Genomic DNA, 20,692 nt, shown 5'->3' with positions numbered 1-20,692 from the left:
CCTACTTCTTTGTAAGTTTTATGACTAAGACATAATCAGGTTCCGACATACCTCATTTTATTGTATTATACTCACAGGTATTGCATTTTTTGCCAATTGAAGCTTTGTGGCAACCTTGCATTAAGCAAATCTATCAGTGCCATTTTTCCAACAGCATGTGCTCACTTCCTGTCTCTGTGCCACATTCTGGTAATTCTCACAATATCTCAAACTTCCTCATTATTATAATATCTGTTTTGGTGACGTGATCAGTGATCTTTGATGTTACTATTGTAACTATTTTGGGGGACCATGAATCACACCCATATAAGACAGCAAACTTAGCTACTTAAAAGTGTGTGTGATCTCACTGCTCCACTGACAACCATTCCTCTCTGTCTCTCCCTTTCACCAAGCCCATTACTTGAGACACAACAATATTGAAATTAGGCCAATTAATAACCCTGCAATGGCCTCTAAGTGTTCAAGTAAAAGGAATAGTCGCACATCTCTCATTTTAAATCAAAAGCTAGAAACAAGCTTAGTGAGAAAGGCACATGGAAAGCCAAGACAGGCTAAAAATTAGGCCTTTTGCAACAAAAAAATTAGCAAAATTGCAAATGCAAAGGAAAAGTTATTGAAGGAAGTTAAAAGCGCTACTTCCATGAACATGTGAATGATGAGAAAGTGAAACAACTTTATCCCTGAGATGCAGAAAGTTTTAGTGGTCTGGAATGAAACATTCCCTATGCCAAAGCCTAATCCAGAACAAGGCTTTAACTCTCTTCAATTCTATCAAGGCTGAGAGAGGGGAGGAAGCTGAAGTTGGAAGCTACCAAACGTTGGTTCATGAGGTTTAAGGAAAGTTGTCTCCATAACGTAAAAGTACAAGATGAAGGAGCAAGTGCTGATGAAGAAGCTGAAGCAAGTTATCCAGAAGATATAGTTAAGATCATTGATGAAGATGGCTACACTAAACAACTGATTTTCAATGTAGATGAAAGAGCCTCCTACTGGAAGAAGATGTCATCTAGCACTTTCTTAGCTAGGGAGAAGTCAATGGCAGGCTTCAAAGCTTCAAAGGACAGGCTGCCTCTCTTGTTAGTGGCTAATGCAGCTGGTGACTCTAAGTTGAGGCCAATCAGTGCTGATGTTCCATTCCAAAAACCCAAGGCCCTTAAGAATGATGCTAAATCTCCCTGCTTGCACTCCACAATAGAACAAGAAAGCCTGGGTGATAGCAGATCTATTTACAGAATGGTTTACTGAATATTTTAAGCCCACTGTTGAGACCTACTGCTCAGAAAAAGAGATTCCTGTCAAAATGTTACTGCTCATTAACAATGCACCTGGCCACACAAGAGTTCTGATGGAGAAGTACAAAAAAATCCATGTTGTTTTCATGCCTACTAATTCAATATCCATTCTGCAGCCCATGGATCCAGGAATAGGTTTGACTTTCAAGTCTTATTAAGAAATATATTTTGTGTCTGTAATCCCAGCCGAGGCGTGTGGATCACGAGGTCAGGAGATCGAGACCATCCCGGCTAACATGGTGAAACCCCATCTCTACTAAAAATACAAAAAAAAAATTAGCCGGACCTGGTGGCGGGCACCTGTAGTCCCAGTTACTCGGAAGGCTGAGACAGGAGAATGGCATGAACCTGGGAGGCGGAGCTTGCAGTGAGCCGAGATCACGCCACTGCACTCCAGCCTGGGTAACTGAGCAAGACAACAACTCAAAAAAAAAAAAAAAAGAAATATATTTTGTAAGGCAATATAAGCAGCCATAGATAGTGATTCCTCTGATGCATCTGGGCAAAGTAAATTGAAAACCTTCAGAAAAAAATCACCATCATAGATGCCATTGAGAACATTCATGACTCACGGGAAGAGGTCAAAATATCAACATCAACAGGAGTTCCAAAAAAGTTGATTCCAAACCTCATGGATGACCTTGAAGGGTATAAGAGTTTAGTGGAGGAAGTAACTGCAGATATGGTGAAAACAGCAATAGAATTAGAATTAAAAGTGGAGCCTGAAAATGTGAATGAATTGTTGTAATCCACGAAAAAACTTTTAACAAATGAGAAGTTGCTTCTTATGGATGAGCAAAGAAAGAAGTTTCTTGAGATGGAATCTACTTCTGATAAAGATACTGTGAACATGCTGGTCATCAGAGAAATGCAAGGCAAAACCACAATGAGATACCATCTCACGCCAGTTAGAATGGCAATCATTAAAAAGTCAGGGAACAACAGATGCTGGAGAGGATGTGGAGAAATAGGAACACTTTTACACTGTTGGTGGGAGTGTAAAGTAGTTCAACCATTGTGGAAGACAGTGTGGCGATTCCTCAAGGATCTAGAACTAGAATTACCATTTGACCCAGCAATCCCATTACTGGGTATATACCCAAAGGATTATAAATCCTGCTACTATAAAGACACATGCACATGTATGTTTATTGCAGCACTATTCACAATAGCAAAGACTTGGAACCATACCAGATGTCCATCAATGATAGACTGGATTAAGAAAATGTAGTGCATATACTCCATGGAATACTATGCTGCCATAAAAAAGGATGAATTCATGTCCTTTGCAGGGACATGGATGAGGCTGGAAACCATCATTCTCAGCAAACTATCACAAGGACAGAAAACCAAACACCGCATCTTCTCACTCAAAGGTGGGAATTGAACAATGAGATCACTTGGACACAGGGCAGGGAACATCACAAACCGGGGCCTGTCGGGCGGTGGGGGCTGGGGGAGGGATAGTATTAGGAGAAATACCTAATGTAAATGATGAGTTGATGGGTGTAGCAAACCAGCATGGCACATGTATACCTTTGTATCAAACCTGCATGTTGTGCACATGTACCCTAGAACTTAAAATATAATTTAAAAAAAAAAGACACTGTGAACCTGGTTGAAATGACAATAAAAGATTGTTTTTCTTTTTTTTTTAATGTCCCTTGAGTCATAACAAATGATTTAGAATATTTCGTAAACTTACCTGATAAAGCAGTGGGAGGGCTGAAGACAATTGACTCCAATTTTAAAACAAGTTCTACTGTGAGTAAAATGCTATCAAACAGCATTGCATGCCACAGAGAAATCACTCATGAAAGAAAGGGTCAATTGATGTGGTAAACCTCACTGTTGTCTTATTTTAAGAAATTGTAAGTCCAGGCGCAGTGGCTCATGCCTGTAATCCCAGCACTTTGGAAGGCTGAGGCAGGCGGATCACCTGAGGTCGGGAGTTCGAGAGCAGCCTGACCAACATGGAGAAACCCCATCTCTACTAAAAACACAAAATTATTCGGGCGTGGTGGTGCATGCCTGTAATCCCAGCTACTCCGGAGGCTGAGGCCAGAGAATGGCTTGAACCCAGGAGGCAGAGGTTGCAGTGAGCCGAGATCGTGCCATTGCACTCTAGCCTGAGCAACAAGAGCAAAACTCCATCTCAAAAAAAAAAAAGAAATTGCCATAGCCACCCCAACTCTTAGCAACCACCACCCTGATAGTCACAGCAGCCATCAGCTTCCACACAAGCAAAACCTTCTCCAGCAAAAACATTACAATTCACTGAAGGCTCAGGTGACTGTTAGCATTTTTTAGCAACAAAGTATTTTTAAGGTATATATATTCTTCTAGACATAATGCTATTGCATACTTTAGTAAACGTAACTTTTATATGCACTGAGAAACCAAAAAGTTCTTGACTCACTTTATTGCAATGGTCTGGAACCAAACCCATAGTACCTCCAAGGTATGCCTGTTTACCTAATACATGTCAGATGTCATTAATTTCTTCAAATTCCGTGTAAATGCACAAGATCTACAAGTGCAGCATGATTTTTGTCTATTTTACCCAAAGGAACCTGTAATTAAGAACCATTATTTTAATACTTCGGGGTAACCATGTTTGAGAAGACATTATAATTAAAATGATATTACAGAATCTGGCAATTTGGAATGGTTCATCTTGGTTCAAAACCATCATCTGGCATTTTAATGGCATTATATTCTGTCTACATCAAGACAATGAAGCAGATATTATGCAAAGAAACAGCAAGGCTGTCAGAAGTAGGCACAGCCATTATTCAACTCAATTAGGTAAACCTTGGACACAGAAAGCTGGACTTCTGTCTGACCTCATCTAGGATCACATTTCTCTTTTAAAATTCTTGCTTTGTTTCCATAAAACTGCAGGCCATGCTCTTTTGATGATACATAGGGGGTTCAGCTACTCAAACACAGGAAGAAAATATGGCAAAAATCTTTGACCGGAAGCTGGTGGGATTAAAAACAGGAAGCTGACAGTCTACAACTACAGAAAGAAATAAATTAATCTTGATGGTAGATTTGGAAACCAGAGCCTCAGTTTTACTCGAAAAACAAAAGTGGACATTCACACTCAGGGTTAAGGGGAAATCAATCAGAGAGTAAAGGAGGCAGCAGCTAGGGGAGACATCTGTGCGAACCAACCTGCAGACGTGTCCAGCGGGGCCTTTTCAAGTAGCTCCGCTTCTTTACAGTTCTCATTTTTCTTTTTCAACTGAGATTTCAGGAGCTAAAGTAGTCTCATGAAACAAGTTCATTCATTTCCATAAGAGATAAAGTTGTAAAAACTAAATTTCCAGAAGGTAGGAACTGTTTCTTATCTATGCTAACACTGTGCACAGAAATAATAAGTGAGAGGAGAATCCACTCTACAGAAGTTGTTTTCCGCCTGTAGTGAAATGAGAGCAAGGAGCCCCATCAGTGTATTTGTTACCGGGCACCAGCTCACACACACATACACACACACACACACATACACACACACACTGTTAAATAGACAGAAAGACAGAGGATTTGTTGTCCAATAAGTACCATAAAAGGTAAACCAAAATCCTAAAACAAAACATAAGCAAGACATGTCTCTCACATGCAGGCAGCACTAGCGTTGATTCAGCATTTGCATTATATGCATTTAAATTGCACAAGACTCAGAAAATAGTTCTATGTGGCAGCAAGAAACAGCAAACTAGATGACAAACACACCAACTCTTTGTCCATGCAAATCTCATGATAAACTATTGACACAAAAAAATTATAGATTATTTTAATGTACTCACACTAATTGATTTCTTTAAAATTCAATTCCAATGCTCAGCCTATGCAACATGGCAGCTGTCTCCAGAATAGCACATGCTTTAATGCTGCAAGCCACACCACAACAAAAGGCTACCTACTGCTTTGCAAAGTGAAGAGACTACCAAAACACAGCAACCACCTTTCTCTTGTTTATATATAAACTCCTATTTCATCAGCTTTCTCCATAATAACCTCACATTTTCATACCTCATACCTGTATTAACAATATCATTTAATACTAAAAAAAAAAAATCTAGCTTTGTTTTGGAGACCAGCCAAGGTTCTTGATAGTAGAAAAGCTGAAGGCCGTAACACAGAATGACTTCCTGAAGAGAACTGCCATCACAGACAACCCTGAGAAAACAGATGACAACACTGAAGCTCTAAACCCTTCCCTAGTTCACCCCATAGGGTTGTCACTGTCTGAGAGGTGAGGCCTCCAAGGACAGTCTATAGCAAAGATTGGAATGTTAACAAAACACACGATAACAGTGATTTGAGTTGGGGTGATTTTTAAATTTAACTTAAATTTTCTTCTTTACAGATGTTCTCTATATTTTGAATTAAACTTTCCATATTTAATGAGGAGAAAATGTCATTTTAGAAGGGAAGGAGAGAGGGAGAGAGAAATATCCTAACATATATTTGGAGACAGGAGATGGGAAGAAAATATGACATGTAAATACTACAAATTTTAATTTAAATCCTTCATTTTTTTCCAACCTGCATTCTCTTAAGAGCTGATTACATATACATACACACACACACACATAGACACACACACACACACACACACACACACACACACATATATATATATATATATGTTTGTTTGTTTGTTTGTTTTGAGATGTGGTCTTACTCTGTCACCCAGGCTGGAGTGTAGTGGTGTGAGCATAGCTCACTGCAAGTTCAAACTCCTGGGCTCAAGTGATCCTCCCATTAGTTGGGAATACAAGCATATACCACCACACCCAGCTAATTTTTAAAATTTCTTAGTAGAAATGAGGTCTCACTATGTTGCCCAGGCTGTATATTTTCATATATTTGATTTGAATGATGGATGTTATTTTCAGAATTGTATATGGGTAAAATCAGAAATTCAGATCTTTGGAGGTATAGGTTCATTTATATAGAGTCATACGTAGAGTATTCAAGAACTGATTACCCAAACTGAGAATTTTCCAGGATCTAACTCCTCCTGATTCACCTGGTTCCTAATACCTCCTCATGAGACCCTTTTCTGTTCATCAGTCACCACCAGAGGTACCCTAAGCAAGGAAGGAGATGAGGACCCCCAAGACAGGCTCAGAAAATAAATTTGATGGGACAAATGAGTCATACAAGGTCTAAGGATTCTAAATATAGTTTCATATTCTCCAATTTATCATGAGTGGAATATATGACATTACTGGAAACATATTTTATTTTGCATGTTCTATTGTGCATTATTTATATAAACAAATATTCCCCTGACTGATAGCTTTGACTTAAGGCATACTGGGAATGTAGGAGAAAAGATACGGTTACCAACTTCTCCACCCTCTCTAGTCACACAACCAATACCAATAAAATTGTACGTTTCCCCTCCCAAAATCATATAATGCAATCTAAGGAACTTCAAGAGTAAAGGCACAACATAGAAACCACAAAATATTAGGCTTATCGAGACAAGCTAACTGTGTGTGTTGGGTAGAAAAGAGGAATGCAAGTCAAATACATTTAGGTAATTTAACTCTCTGCCAAGGCATTTTCTAAATTATAATCTGCACCTTCTCTCCAATTGGTCTCTTCATGTGAATTGCCTTTCCTTTCACTACTCTCTCCTCTGAATTTTCTCCATCCGTTTGCAGTAAATCTCCTCTGCAAAGCCAGCCTGTGCTCATTCATCTCCCACTTACACCCAATCATCTCCTGTCTCATCTGCTTCAGGTTACCTCAGCTAATGAGTTCATGGTTTGAAGGCAGGGCCACTGTCTTCTGACTTCTCTATGCCCCATGGTACATCACCCAACAAGGTACTGGAAATGGATTAAGTGTGAAGTGTATGTGCTCATCCAAAACCTCAGTCAGTACCTACTATGTGCCAAGAACTAGGGATTTAAGATTAATAAAAACATGGTCTTTGTTTAAGCAGCTCCCAGCCTAGAAGGAAAGACAGGTATGTTTTGTACTTTGCCTCTCACTTTCTCAAGGATATTGCTGATTTATTTATTAGGGCAGTCTCCAGCAACAAATCTCTCTTTCTACTGATCACTCCCCTCATTACAGCCATATGGTTTAAGCATATGCTTTTATCTCCCATTTTAAACACAAACAGAAATCCCCCGTAATCCCTCAGAGTGCGCTAGCTACATCCAATTTGTCAGTTCCCCTTAATAGCTGATCTTCTCTATGAAGTTGTCCACATATGCCACATCCATTTTCTCACTTCTGAGTTCATCCCTCAACCACAGCAGTCTGCCCTCCCAACCAGACCCCTAGACCTGCTCTCATCAAGGTGCCTATGTTATCCACGTCACCAACACTGGACACCTCTCTGCCTGCAGCTTATTCAGCCCCAGCATCATTCTGCAGAGTCAGCACTCCTTCCCAGGCCCTGGTTTTTCACTGGTTTTCCTCCTACCTTGACAGCCAGTCCTTACCCAACTCCATTTGTGGCTCTTCCTAGTTTACCTGACCTCTAAGTGTTGAGCTCATTCCAAGTATGCCTCCTCTACACATCTTTCTCCAGGTGATGTTATCAACAGCCATGCAGTGAAGACCATCTTGTGCTCAATGGCACTCACCTTTGCTCCAACTCCAGACCTCTCCTCCAAGCCCCAGCCTCACAAATCTGCCTACCTGATAGCCTCACCTAGTGGAGCTTGGAGGAGAGGTCTATGGAGGTCTTGTAGGTCCTAGACAAATAGATCTCAAATTCCACATGCCTAAAACAGAATGGCTACAGATCCCACCCCCCAGAAAATACTTGTCCCCCACCTACCCCAGGCCTTCTCTGTCTTGCTGTCATATTGGTCACCAAGTTATTAAAACCGGACTCTGAGGAGCCATCCTTGTTTTTCTTCTCTTTCTTTCCTCACTGCCCTTACCCACACTTACCTAATCCATCAGCAACTCCTGCATCCAAAATAAAGCTTACATCTACCCTCTCTCTTAATACCTAATGCTGCTACCTTTCTCCTGACCACAGTCATCTCTTGCCTAGATTACTACAAGTGTCCAAATTAGCTTTCTACTTCTATTCTTGCTCTGCCACCAGTCCATTCTCTTTAGCAGACAAAAAAAAAAAAAGATTTTCATAAACTATCTAAAGATTTATCTCCCACCCCTAAAATGTTACAGTGGCTTCCCAGGAAAATACTACTAAATCCCAACCTCTTTCCCACGAGGCTCTACATCAACTACATCTACATCACCAGGGCTGGTTCCAGCCCCCTCTTGAATCATTCCTCATCCCTTCCCATCTTTGTTCTTCATTATACCCCAGCCAAAGTGGATATCTTTCAGTTTCTCAGAGATACCAAGCCCTTTCTAGGCAAGAGAAATAGCATGAACAGAAGCCCTGGGAAGATGATATTCTTTGCCCTACTCTTATAGGGCAGGCGCCTTCTCTTCCCCTAGGTCTGTTGAAGTTATCATGGCCACAGGGAGGCCTTTGGAGACAGAAGTTTATTCTTTATACGAGTCCCATCTATTTCTCTCACAGCACTTACTCAAAGGTACTGTTACTTGATTTATGTATTTCCCTCTTTGGGGGGTTTCTTTCCCCAAGTTAAAATGTAAGTTCCACGTGGGCAGGGACCATGTTCACTGCTGGACCTCAACACTTAGCACTATGCCTAGCATATAGTAGAAAATCAATAAATAGTCATGGAATATATAAGTGTATGAACAAGCACTTACAACACAGTATGATGTGTACTAGTGCAGGAAGTGATCCAAAGTTCTTTGGAAACATGAATAAAGACTCTCTTTACAGATGAGAAGATACCTGAGTTAAATCTTTTGGAATTTGTCAGGATTAGAGCTATTATAATGGTGCTGAAAATATGAGAGAGCCTGATTGTGTTCAGGAACAGGAAAACAGTGGTATTCTGTGTCAGGCTATACAATTTACATTTTATCAGGAAAGCCAGCCATTTGAGAGCTTAGGCAAAGAACAGATACTGTTTGAATTATGAAAAGATAACTCGGATGACAGTATGAAGGATCACTTGCAAGAGAAGAACTAGAAGCAGGGAGACTAACTAGAAAGATGCAAGGGAGAAAGTGACTATGGCAGTGGAAATGAAAACAAGGAGAAAGAACCAGACCACGAGATATTAAGATAATATTTTTAAAAGCTTAGCAACCAATTGAATATGACAGTAAGGACCAAGAGATGAGCACGGCTCAGCTTTTAACTTGTGAGACTATGTGAACAACAATGCCATTAATTGAGACAGAAATACAGAATATAAGCAATTTTTAGGGGGGAAAGTGAGGAGTCCAGTGTGGGACATACTGAGTGTGAGGTGCCTGGGGCTGTCCTTGTAGAGATGCCCTATTGGGCAGCTGGTAGGTGGGGACGAAGACCTGGGTACAGCAGAGGTCACAGATTTAGAAATCAACATATACATGGGAACTTTCTTCCTAGAAACAGAGGTGATTAATACTGGTTTAATAATTGCCCGAAGATTTTAACAAGAAGTTAAATGGAAGCTATAAGTGAAAATACTATTCTTACTCAATGTTCTCTGGGAAGAAAAAAATGGAAGAATCCAAACCAAAAATAAAAATGGTTAGTTTCTCTGAAAATCCTACAATACTAAACAAATAAGGCTGCCTTTTAAAGAAAATAGAGATTCTAGATATTGCTCTGAAGTGTCTTTAAAGTTCAGGGTATTATAAGCTCTTGCCAAGTAAGGCGGTGCTTAATAATTTTTTTATTTCATCAGTATTAATTTAGAAGGAAAGCGAGCACATTATAAAGAAACACATGTACAAAGTCGCATTACTGAAATGTAGTTTAAGGAAGATGGGTTGTAGCTATTGTTAACTCATGATTACCCCAGCTAGTTCTCTGGTGGCTTTAAGGATGATGTCGAACCCATTCCTAAGGTTTTGCTTCTTGGCAATTCCCATTGCCACCATGGATTCACTTCTTACCTCATCCAACCACCCACTGCTGCCCACACCTCTTCTCCAGAACCGCCTGTGTGTGTGATTAGAGACCAGGAAAGCTTGCCTTGAAGACACCTCATACCTGAAATTCTAGCCAAGCAGGAGTCAGAGGGCAGCCCCAGCTCACCCTCTCCACTCCACTGAAATGGAGGCCAGGGACACTTAGCTCCCCCGGCAACCAGCTACCCTGATAATCAGAGAACCACAAGACTTAAGCTTCAGGGAGGAAGGAGCCCAAGGTGAACAACCAGCAAGCACAGGGCAAGCCTTCCATTCTGGTGTGTCCACCTCCCACCATGGGGGGAAGGGAGAGAGCCCTGCGAAGGGCTGTGAAGGGAACTGAGCAGGCCTCTTAAGGCCAAAGAGCTTGAAAGGGAGTGTCTGTCCCCACTGAGCCACTTTTAGTCATCCATAAGGTTTAAATGACTAGAAGCCTAGGTTTTCCTGCTGCTTTGTCTCTCAACTTGCAGGCAAGGCATTGCAGGAGGAGCATGTTTTATGAAGGGCAACTGTTCCCAAAATCCCCCTCCCACCTCCACCACGCAAGGAACACAGCTAGCATGCTACACATGTCTATGTGGGGCCTCCAGCCCTTCCCTGTATACACTTCTGCCTGCTGGGAGAGCAATGGGAGGGAAATTTTCTGCCATCTGTGAATCCTGTTCTTCTATCAGGAGGGTATTTTGACTATACCTATTATTTTAGGGAGCTTTCAGACATAAGCATCTCTTTGCCTTTCACCTCAGTCAATCTAATTCCTCCATCCCAACAACCCACACACTCCCCAACTACAAACTCAGGTATCCAAGCCCATAATCCTGACTTTAAAAGCTTAACAAAAAATATGAGGGCATGGATGAACGAAATTTACTAATATGCCTAATGGGTATTTCAGAACACTAACAGGACAATGAAAAAAAGGGATTTTTACATTCAATTTTTTTAGGTTTCTTGTTCCTGAAAATAAAAAAGCAAAGAAAATAAAGCACTGTCTCTCTCTTCATCTGCATTATACTTGGTGCCACTATACAAAGCATGCAGCCCCTGGCACTCTGGTAATAAGCTGTGAGTAATATTCACACTCCTGTAAATCTGGAGTTATATTAAAAAGGTTACTGTTTTAGTCTTATGAGAAGTTAAAGGACTGCCAAATCCTTTCATCACTCAAGCTCTTTAAAGAATAAGACACAGCCCTGTAGAAATCCTCAGACCAAAACACAAGGGTTTTGATAAGGGTTTTGATATTTAATATTTAAGAGGAGAAGGAAGTCTGAGAGAGGAACTAAGTGAAGGGGTAAAAAGAAGGCATTGTTGTATTTGCCGTTTTGAGGAAGAACAGGTTCTTTGCTCTCCTCACCCTGCCCAGGGAAACTCACACTGGAGAGAGGCCAGGAAATATCTTCCTCAGGCAGGTGCCTATGTGAGCCAGCACCTCACTCACGTCCTCGGGTGACGCCATCTTCATGGAAATGCTGCACTTCTCAGTTTCCACAATCATCTGCAAGAACCGGTGGGACACTTCTTAAGAATGAGTCCAATTCCTTCCGTTTTTAATTATTTTAAATATTGTAAACTACATAGTCACACAGATATATACTAATACAATATTAGCTTTTTTTTTCTTTAACAAGGTTCGAGGGTAGCACATCTCACATACGTGCGTGAACACCCAACCATCACCCTCATGAACTACAAAAGGATCACAATATTAGCTTTTAAAGAAGCACTTTCTTAAAATAATGCACTTAATTTAAGACTCAAAGAAGTGTTTGGGTAGAGGGTGGAAGTATTGTCAGAAACGTCTAGAAACTGAAGTAAGTGTTTCCAAGGGCCAAGCTGGCAGATTCAAATAGACTCCCATATGATAGAGACTGAACTCCCACATTCAAACACGACTTCTCCTTTTACCAAGATTTTGTCCTGAGCTGCAGTCTTACAAAGTTTTTATATCCCTGCTATGTAGTGTAAGTATGGCTATATCTTTCTGTGGGTACCCATAGGCAATCTAAAAGCTACCTTTAAAATACACACACACACATTTTAAAGACAAGAAACCTTATCATATGCTTAAATAAAATGTTAAAACCTTTTGCTTGGGAGCAAAAGAGAAATGCTTTTAAAAGTTTCGATCGGCAGGGCACAGTGGCTCATGCCTGTAATCCCAGCACTTTGGGAGGCCAAGGCAGGCGGATCACAAGGTCAAGAGATTGAGACCATCCTGGCCAACATGGTGAAACCCTGTCTCTACTAAAAAGAAAAAAAAATACAAAAATACAAAAATTAGCTAGGTGTGGTAATGCATGCCTGTAATCCCATGTAATCCCAGCTACTCAGGAGGCTGAGGCACGAGATTCGCTTGAACCCAGGAGGCGGAGGTTGCAGGGAGCCGAGATCGTGCCACTGCACTCCAGCCTGATGACAGAGCAAGACTCCGTCTAAAAAAAAAAAAAAAAAAAAAAAAATGGTTTTGAGCTTTCTAAGAAGAGGGGATACTTGGAATATTAAGGTAACACGTTAATAAAATGTTTGGTGTTAGGTTTAGTGTTAGACTAAGACTCATTCCTATAATTAATTGCTGGAGATGTCCAAAACATGTCAAAAAATGTTGAGACTGAGACAGCTAGTCCTCTAAATAAGTACAAACTAACTTGTGAAAAGGAGGACAGGTCGGTCACAAAAGGGGCAAGAAGCTGAAGATGTACACATTACAAATAAGAAGAACTTCAACTACCTAAAAATAAAAGATGCCATTTTCTTTAATCTCAAAAACATTCATGTAAACTGGGTGTGGTGGTGCATGCCTATAACCCCGTAAACTCAGGAGGCTGAGGCAGGACGATTGCTTGAGCCTAGGAGTTCAAGACCAGCCCAGGCAACATAGCAAAACCCCATCTTCCTACCCCCCAAAAAATTCCCATAAAATGCAATCCTCTTAGATTATCACTTCTTCAAAATATCTGCACACGTTTACTTCCTGTTCTTACTTTATCTATACAAAAATATGATGGAGAACACTTTATAATGTGCAATGCAGTTTTTAGATTTTGCCTTACATTTTCCTGAAATTAGCCCAAACTGAAAATAATAATAATGTAAGTATTTCAACATATGTATGTCAAAATGAAAAGTAACGCAAGGTATGTCAAAATGATGAGATCAAAGAAAAGGATATAAATAATGTAAGTGTTTCAGATGTTACTTTTTCATAAATACCTCTAGAAGAATCTGTCAACGAGTATTTGATAAATACCACTTCTGTGCTAGTTAGTTGTACATAAAAAAATTAAAATTCCTATTTTTCAGTGCATTCCTCAAGAAATGAAAGGCAAAGCCTTTAAAATTCTCTAGGCAAAGGCTCCATTTGTCTTCTAAAAGCTGGTTCAAGAGGTATTCCTCTAGCAAAAGACATCAAGCATTATTGTACCTGGAGGCTAAACAACCCAGTAGTCTATAAGATGTTTTAAGTAAGACTAAATCTACTTAGTGAAATTAGGCTCATATTTTTCATATGCACATATCTGTGCATATGCATGTTTTTAAAAGCCAGACACTTTTGATGTGCCATTGTGTCTGTGCTCTGCACCCTACTCCCAACCTTCCCACCATGGGTAATTATATTTTTCACTACAGGGGTACTTTTACATTCTTCACATCTAGCACATCTATTCAGTTCACAGTTTGGGTGCGAGTAATTAGTAATTAGCTTATTCTAATTCCACTTAATCTTAACACCTAATCATCTTTAATTGCACAGGATTGAATAGAATGACAGAGAAGAAAAAATGGTGACAGGTGGAGGAAGAAATGAGGCCTTCAATTCAACCTTACAAGCAAGCACTCACACAACCCTGTGTAAGATGTCACCACCTTTGCATAATGTAAAGACTGCAACAAAGTGATGGAGGTGAAACCAACACAATAAGTCACCTCATCAAAAAAGAAAAAAAGAGCTTCCTATCAAATACTCTTTTCCCTCCCACTTCAGCTGGGGAGGAACAGAATGTTTGAAACACATTTTCTTTAGACACCTAGCAGGATATAACCCATGATATCTAATATACATTTAAAATAATAGAGATATAAGCCATAGTAACTTATGTATGATTCAAATTTCCCACCCCACTCCACCGCCTTTTTTTAAGGTCGAACAACCTGACTAAACTTCAAGGGCAGCACGTTTTACTAATCCCCAGCTAACAGACCTGTGAGTTGTTTTTCTCTCCTCTGTCAGAAATATGTGGTGGTGGATGGCTTATCCATCCATGTGTGGTAGATGGCTTATCAATATCATTCTGTGACATAGCAAACAATTAACCCTATAATTCAAGAAAAAATCATAGCAGGTATTCAGTTGTACAAAAAAAGGTGCAAAAATTGTATAACTATAAAACTGTATAACTGCTGGCCTCAACTTAAATACCATGAAGGCAATAAAACTCGAGCACCAGAAAACAATGTGGCATAGAGACTGGTAAAATAAGATAAAGGTTTCCAACATTTCTGAAGAAAGGGGAAAATAGCAATAGTAAAAGTCACATTTCGCTAACTCAATAGAGCAATCACTCACTCTTAAACACAATGCAGTAGGTAAGTCTCAGGAATTTTATCTGAGTTTATGAACTATAATTAAATCATAATAAAGAACAGCAAGGAGAAAAAAATAAATCCCAGAGAACATTACAAAAGAATTCCTAATCAAGGCTAGATTCTGAGTGCCACTGGTAGATATTCCCATCCTCATGATTTTATATAAAAGAAAATCAAAACTAGAGGTCACTGGTTACACAGCTCACTGGTTCTTAACCTTTGGAATGCAACAGAATCAAATGGTGCACTTGTTAAAAAAACAAACGTCCACCGCGGATGTATAGAACTGTAACTGTCCTAAGTATATATTGTGTGTGTTTGAGGAGAATGAGGAAGTATGATGTGACAGAGAGAAGGGTACTGCTGAAAGTATATTTTTAAAAACAATCACAGGCAGTTCCAAAACACAGCAAATTTTGAATACCATTAGGTTACTAGTATTGCCAGTCTCTGAATTGCTAGGCCATTTACAGAAGCAGTGCCAATGTTCACTATAATTTCATCTCAAAGGTCCATACTGTGGGTCAAAGTTAAATTGAAGCACTGTTGTAAAGCTATTCATTTGGTACTGACACTGACAGGGGCTGAGACAGACGGCTTTATACACAGTTCCTCTGAATGGTACGCATATTGAAAGGGGCAAGACTACAAGTGTGGTAAGACCAATTTTGGCAGCCACATGGGAAAATTAGTCTTGCTGCATCAACACTCTTTCTCATAATTAAATAGCACAGTGAAATCATATTTCGAACATAACCTTGGCATTAACATTTCGCTAGTGCCCTTCTGCTCCCATCCCAGCTCTCAAATCATAAACATAAACATTCCTGAATTAAGACCACCGAGAAGACCCTTGTTATGTCATTATGTCATCATTCACGAGTGATCATTCACTCCTGCATATGTTTGACCATTTGGGCAAACATATGTTGCTGCGATTTTTCTTTCAAACTCCAGTTTCTGGAAAATGATAAACACATAAAATAAAACATTGCTCTAAGATGAACTGTGGAAAAGTTCCAAGAGTTTGTATGAAATCTCAAAAAACATAGTGACAATTTTGACAATTTTAAAGAACATTATGAACAAACTCCACATACACACAAACACACACACACACACACACACACTTTCTTTGTAGTTTTAAAAGCTAAAACAAAAAGTAGAAGGAAAGAACAAAGATCAGAGCAAAAGTCGATGAAATAGGAAATAGAAAATCAATGAAATCAATAAAGAAAACCAATGGAACCAAAAAGAAAGTTGTTAAATGACGAGTTAGTGGGTGCAGCGCACCAGCATGGCACATGTATACATATGTAACTAACCTGCACATTGTGCACATGTACCCTAAAACTTAAAGTATAATAATAAAAAAAAAGTTGTTTGAAAAGATAAAAAAAAATTGGTAGACCTCTAACCTGACTGAAATGGAAAAAGAGAGAGATAACCAAATTACCAATATTGGGAATGACACTCTACAGATATTAGAAGTATAACAAGTGGATATTATTAACAACTTTATTCCAATAAATTCAACAACTTACATAAAATAAACAAATTTCTTAAAAGACACAAACTACCAAAGCTCATTCAAGAAAAGAAATATAAATGGATCTATATCATTAAGGAATATTAATAGAATTTGCAATTTAAAACCTTCCCAGGTTGGGCACAGTGGCTCATGCCTGTAATCCCAGTACTTTGGGAGGCTGAGGGAGGTGGATCGCTTGAGCTCAGAAGTTCGAGTCGAGCCTGGGCAATGCAGAGAAACCCTGTCTCTAGGAAAAAATACACAAATTAGCCAGGCATGGTGGTGCATGCCTGTAGTCCCAGCTACTTGGGAGGATGAGGTGAGAGGATCGCTTGGTCCCGAGAAGCGAAGGTTGCCATGAGCTGAGATTGCACCCCTGCACTCCTGCCTGAGCAACAGTGCGAGACCCTGTCTGGAAAAAAAAAAAAAAACCTTCTCAAAGAGAAAACTCAAGGCCCAAATAATTTCACCAGTAAATTTAAGTAAACATTTAAGACAAAAATTAATACCATCTCAACAGAAAAAATTTAAGAGAAGGAACTACTTCCTCCTCTATATAGGAGAAATATATAGAATCATTCTATAAATCTATGATTCTCTAATAGAGAAGCCAGCCAAAAATGTTAAAAAAAAAAAAAAAGACAAACCAATAACTCCCACAAACATCAATGCAAAACACTCTTCACAAAATTTTAATATTTGGAATTCAACATTAAAAAAATAATATATCATGGCTCAGGCCTGTAATCCCAACACTTTGGGAGGCTAAGGCAGGCGAATCACAAGGTCAGGAGATTGAGACCATCCTGGCCAACATGGTGAAACCCCATATCTACTAAAAATACAAAAATTAGCTGGATGTCATGACGCGTGCTTGTAGTCCCAGCTATTCGGGAGGCTGAGGCAAGAGAATCATTTGAACCCGGGAGGCAGAGGTTGCAATGAGCCAAGATTGTGCCACTGCACTCCAGCCTGGTGACAGAGTGAGACTCCGTCTCAAAAATATATATATAATAATAATTATATATCATGGCCAAATGAGACTTATCCCAGGAATCAAATATTTGATATTCAAAAAATTAATCAATATAACTAATCATTTTAAGAAGCTTAAAAAAAGAAAGAAAACCACACAATAATCTCAACAGACAGAGAAAAAACATTTGCCAAAATCCAACACTAATTCCTGATTAAAACTCTGAACAAACTAAAAATAGAAAGAAACTTCTTAAACCAGATAAAGGGCATCTATTTTAAAAACCTACAGCTAACATCACACTTAATGGTGAAAGAATGAATGCGTTCCCTCAAAGACTAGGAAAAAGACAAGAAGATTTGCTCTTGCCACTTCCATTCAGCACTGTCTTATAAGTACCAGAACAATTGCCAAGTTCTGAGTTTTTACCCTACTTGTAGGCCAGTAAGTTAGCCTATTAGATGTTTCATTGATGCTGCAGAAGACAGGAGACGCCTGGGTCAGAGACATAGGATTTTATGATTCATGGTACAACAAAAGGCATGTGTACCACATTTGGATAGATTCCCCTGCCCTCAAAGTCCCATATGGTGCTTCAGATGGATGCTTGCACACACAGTAGGCTGCTGACAAGAAAGGAACCCTTGGACATTGGAAATCTACTGTTTTCATGGTAAGAAGTAAGCAAGCCTGTTCTTTATTCAATGGAACTATTCCACCATCCCACAAGATGCTCATTGCTATCAACCCTGAGAAATAGCCTGGGCAAAGAGAAGTCACAGCCCTAAATTCCTGGCATACCCAGCAAAATATGTAGGAATTGCTCCACCAATGGAGGAATATCTCCCAATAGCAATAAGACTAGACAAAGAAATAAAAGGCACCCATGTTAAAAATAAAAGGTACCCATCCATATTCACAAATGACATCATCTTTGTAAAAAATGATGAAGTCTATTTTTAAAAGCTACTAGAACTAATACGTGAGTAGAACAAGATAGCAGGTTACAGGATATAAGGTCAATATGCAAAAATCAATTATATTTCTAATACCAGCAAGAGACAACTGAAAACTGAAATGTAAAAAATAACACAATTTATAGTAGCATCAAAAAATATTAAACACTTAGGAATGAATTTAGACATATGTAAGACCAGTACGCTGAAAGCTACAACAAAATACACTCAGAAAAACTGAAAAAGACCTAAACAAATGGAGAAATATATAGTTTTCTTAGGTCCGAAGACTGTACATTACTAAGATGTCAGCTCTTCCCCAAAGTGATTTAAAAATTCATTGTAATATCAGCCAAAATTCCAGCAAGCTTTTTATAGAAACTGAGGTGTTTCTAAAATTCATACGGAATTGCAAAGGACCTAGAATCACTAGAACAATTTTGAAAAAGAAGAAAAACGTTGGAGGACTAACACTATCTGATTTCAAATTTTGTTGTAAACAAGCCACAATAATAAAGAGAGTATAAGAGTGGCATGAAGATAGTAGCAAGGAGACGGGATTCAGAGTCCAGAAATAGATTCACACTTAAACGGACTACAGAATTTCAACAAAGGTGAAAACAAGCTCAGTGAGGAAACAATAGTCTTTCAAACAAATGTTACTGGAACAAGTGAATATAATACACATATGAGAAAAAAAAGACAAACTAAAAAAAAATTTTGATCTATACATAGCTTTATATTCAAAAATTACTTCAAAATGGATCATAGGCCTACATGTGTAACCTAAAGCTGTAAAACTTCTGGAAGATATAGAACATTCTGTGACCTTGGGTTAAGCAAAGATTTATTCAATATGATACTAAAAGCACAATCCATAAAAGAAAACATTGATAAATTGGACTTCATCAACATTTAAAACTTCTGCTCTTTGAAAGACACTGTTAAGGGAATGAAAAGACAAGCCACCAGACTGAGAGAAAATATCTGATAAAGGCTTTGTATCCAGAATGTATTTTTTTAAAAACTCAAAATTCAATAAGAAAACAAACAGCCCAATTTCTGTAATGGCAGAAGGAAATACGTGATGGCAAATAAACAGATAAAAAGATACTCCACATGTTCTGTCATTAGGGAAATGCAAATTAAAACCACAATGAAAAAGCACTACATACTTGTTGAATGGCTAACATTAAAAAGACTGACTATACCAGTGTTGGGGAGGATGTGGAGGGACTACAACTCTCATATGCTGCTGGGGACAATGTAAAATAGTAAAACCACTGTGGAAAAGTGTGACGGTTTCTCAAAAAGTTAAACATATAGCTACTATACAATTCAGCCATTCTACCCCTAGGTAATTACACATGGGAAATGAAAGTACAGGTCCAATCAAAAACTTGTACTTAAATATTCATAGCAGCTTTATTCATCATAGCCAAGATGGGAAACAACCCAAATGTCCCTCACATCAGGCGAATGGATAAACGAACTGTAATATAGCCACACAATTAAACACTACTCAGCAACAAAAAGAATAAACTATTGAGACATGCAACAAAGTAGATCAATCTCAAAATAATTAAACTGGGGTTGGGGGAGGGAGAGTATTAAGAAAAATAGCTAATGCGTGCTGGGCTTAATACCTAGGTGATGGATGGATAGGTGCAGCAAACCACCATGGCACACATTTACCTGGGTAACAAACTGGCACACCCTGCACATGTACCCCAGAACTAAAAATAAAATTAAAAATTAAAATAATAATAATTAAACTGACTGAAAGAAGGCAGACAGGAAGAAGTATACATTGTATGACATCATTCATATAAAATTTTTAAAATGCAAACTACAGCAACCAAAAGTAGATACCTGCAGATTGACTGCAGGTGGGGAAGAGGGCGAAGACAGAGTCATACATATGTCAACACTTATCAAATTGTACACTTTAGTTTACTGCAGTTAGTTATAGCCCAATAAAGCTATTTTTTTAAATCAGCATTTTAATAAATCCAAAAAATTCATTTATCACTATATTCCCACTAAGCCCTTATATAGTACTATACAATTGCTATGCAATTTTAGTGTTAAAGCATGTTGTACAAACTCTATAAGGAACAGTACTCTCACGTTTACACTGCCGGTTATCATAAGAGCTAATTTGTTCTTCACAAACTGAGTTATGGAGAATGTGTTTTCCTTATCAGAATGAATTCCCAACTCCTGTCCACACAGCCAGTGTTGAGTCTCTCATTTCAAAAATTTCATCTTCCCTAACCTTGTTTATCCACATTGTCTCAAGGAACATTTTAGGGTTTCAAGAATTCAAGAAAGATCATGATCTTGCAGT

The 20,692-nt window shown here is 38.8% G+C and overlaps 1 protein-coding gene, 1 long non-coding RNA gene and 1 pseudogene across 21 annotated transcripts in view; 1 reads left to right on the top strand and 2 right to left on the bottom strand.

Annotated features, from left to right (window-relative positions):
- CARMIL1 (capping protein regulator and myosin 1 linker 1) overlaps positions 1–20,692 on the bottom strand; it is a 341,157-nt gene that overhangs the window by 173,258 nt on the left and 147,207 nt on the right. For all 20 annotated transcript variants that reach the window (XM_017011008.2, XM_017011009.2, XM_017011015.2 and 17 more), the window contains one exon: positions 11,669–11,790. In XM_017011008.2, coding sequence (XP_016866497.1) covers positions 11,669–11,790 — 122 coding nt within the window. The remainder of the gene's footprint in view (positions 1–11,668; positions 11,791–20,692) is intronic.
- The window catches only part of LOC124901281 (uncharacterized), a 124,485-nt gene that overhangs the window by 4,918 nt on the left and 98,875 nt on the right, over positions 1–20,692 (top strand). The gene's annotated exons all lie outside the window — the stretch shown is intronic.
- LOC124901546 (uncharacterized) lies at positions 11,872–11,993 on the bottom strand (annotated as a pseudogene).

The sequence above is a fragment of the Homo sapiens genome, chromosome 6 (genome assembly GCF_000001405.40).
Source record: "Homo sapiens chromosome 6, GRCh38.p14 Primary Assembly".
Taxonomy (NCBI): Eukaryota; Metazoa; Chordata; class Mammalia; order Primates; family Hominidae; genus Homo; species Homo sapiens.
The sequence above is the reverse complement of the archived record's forward strand: the minus strand, read 5'-3'. Positions and strand labels throughout refer to the sequence as shown.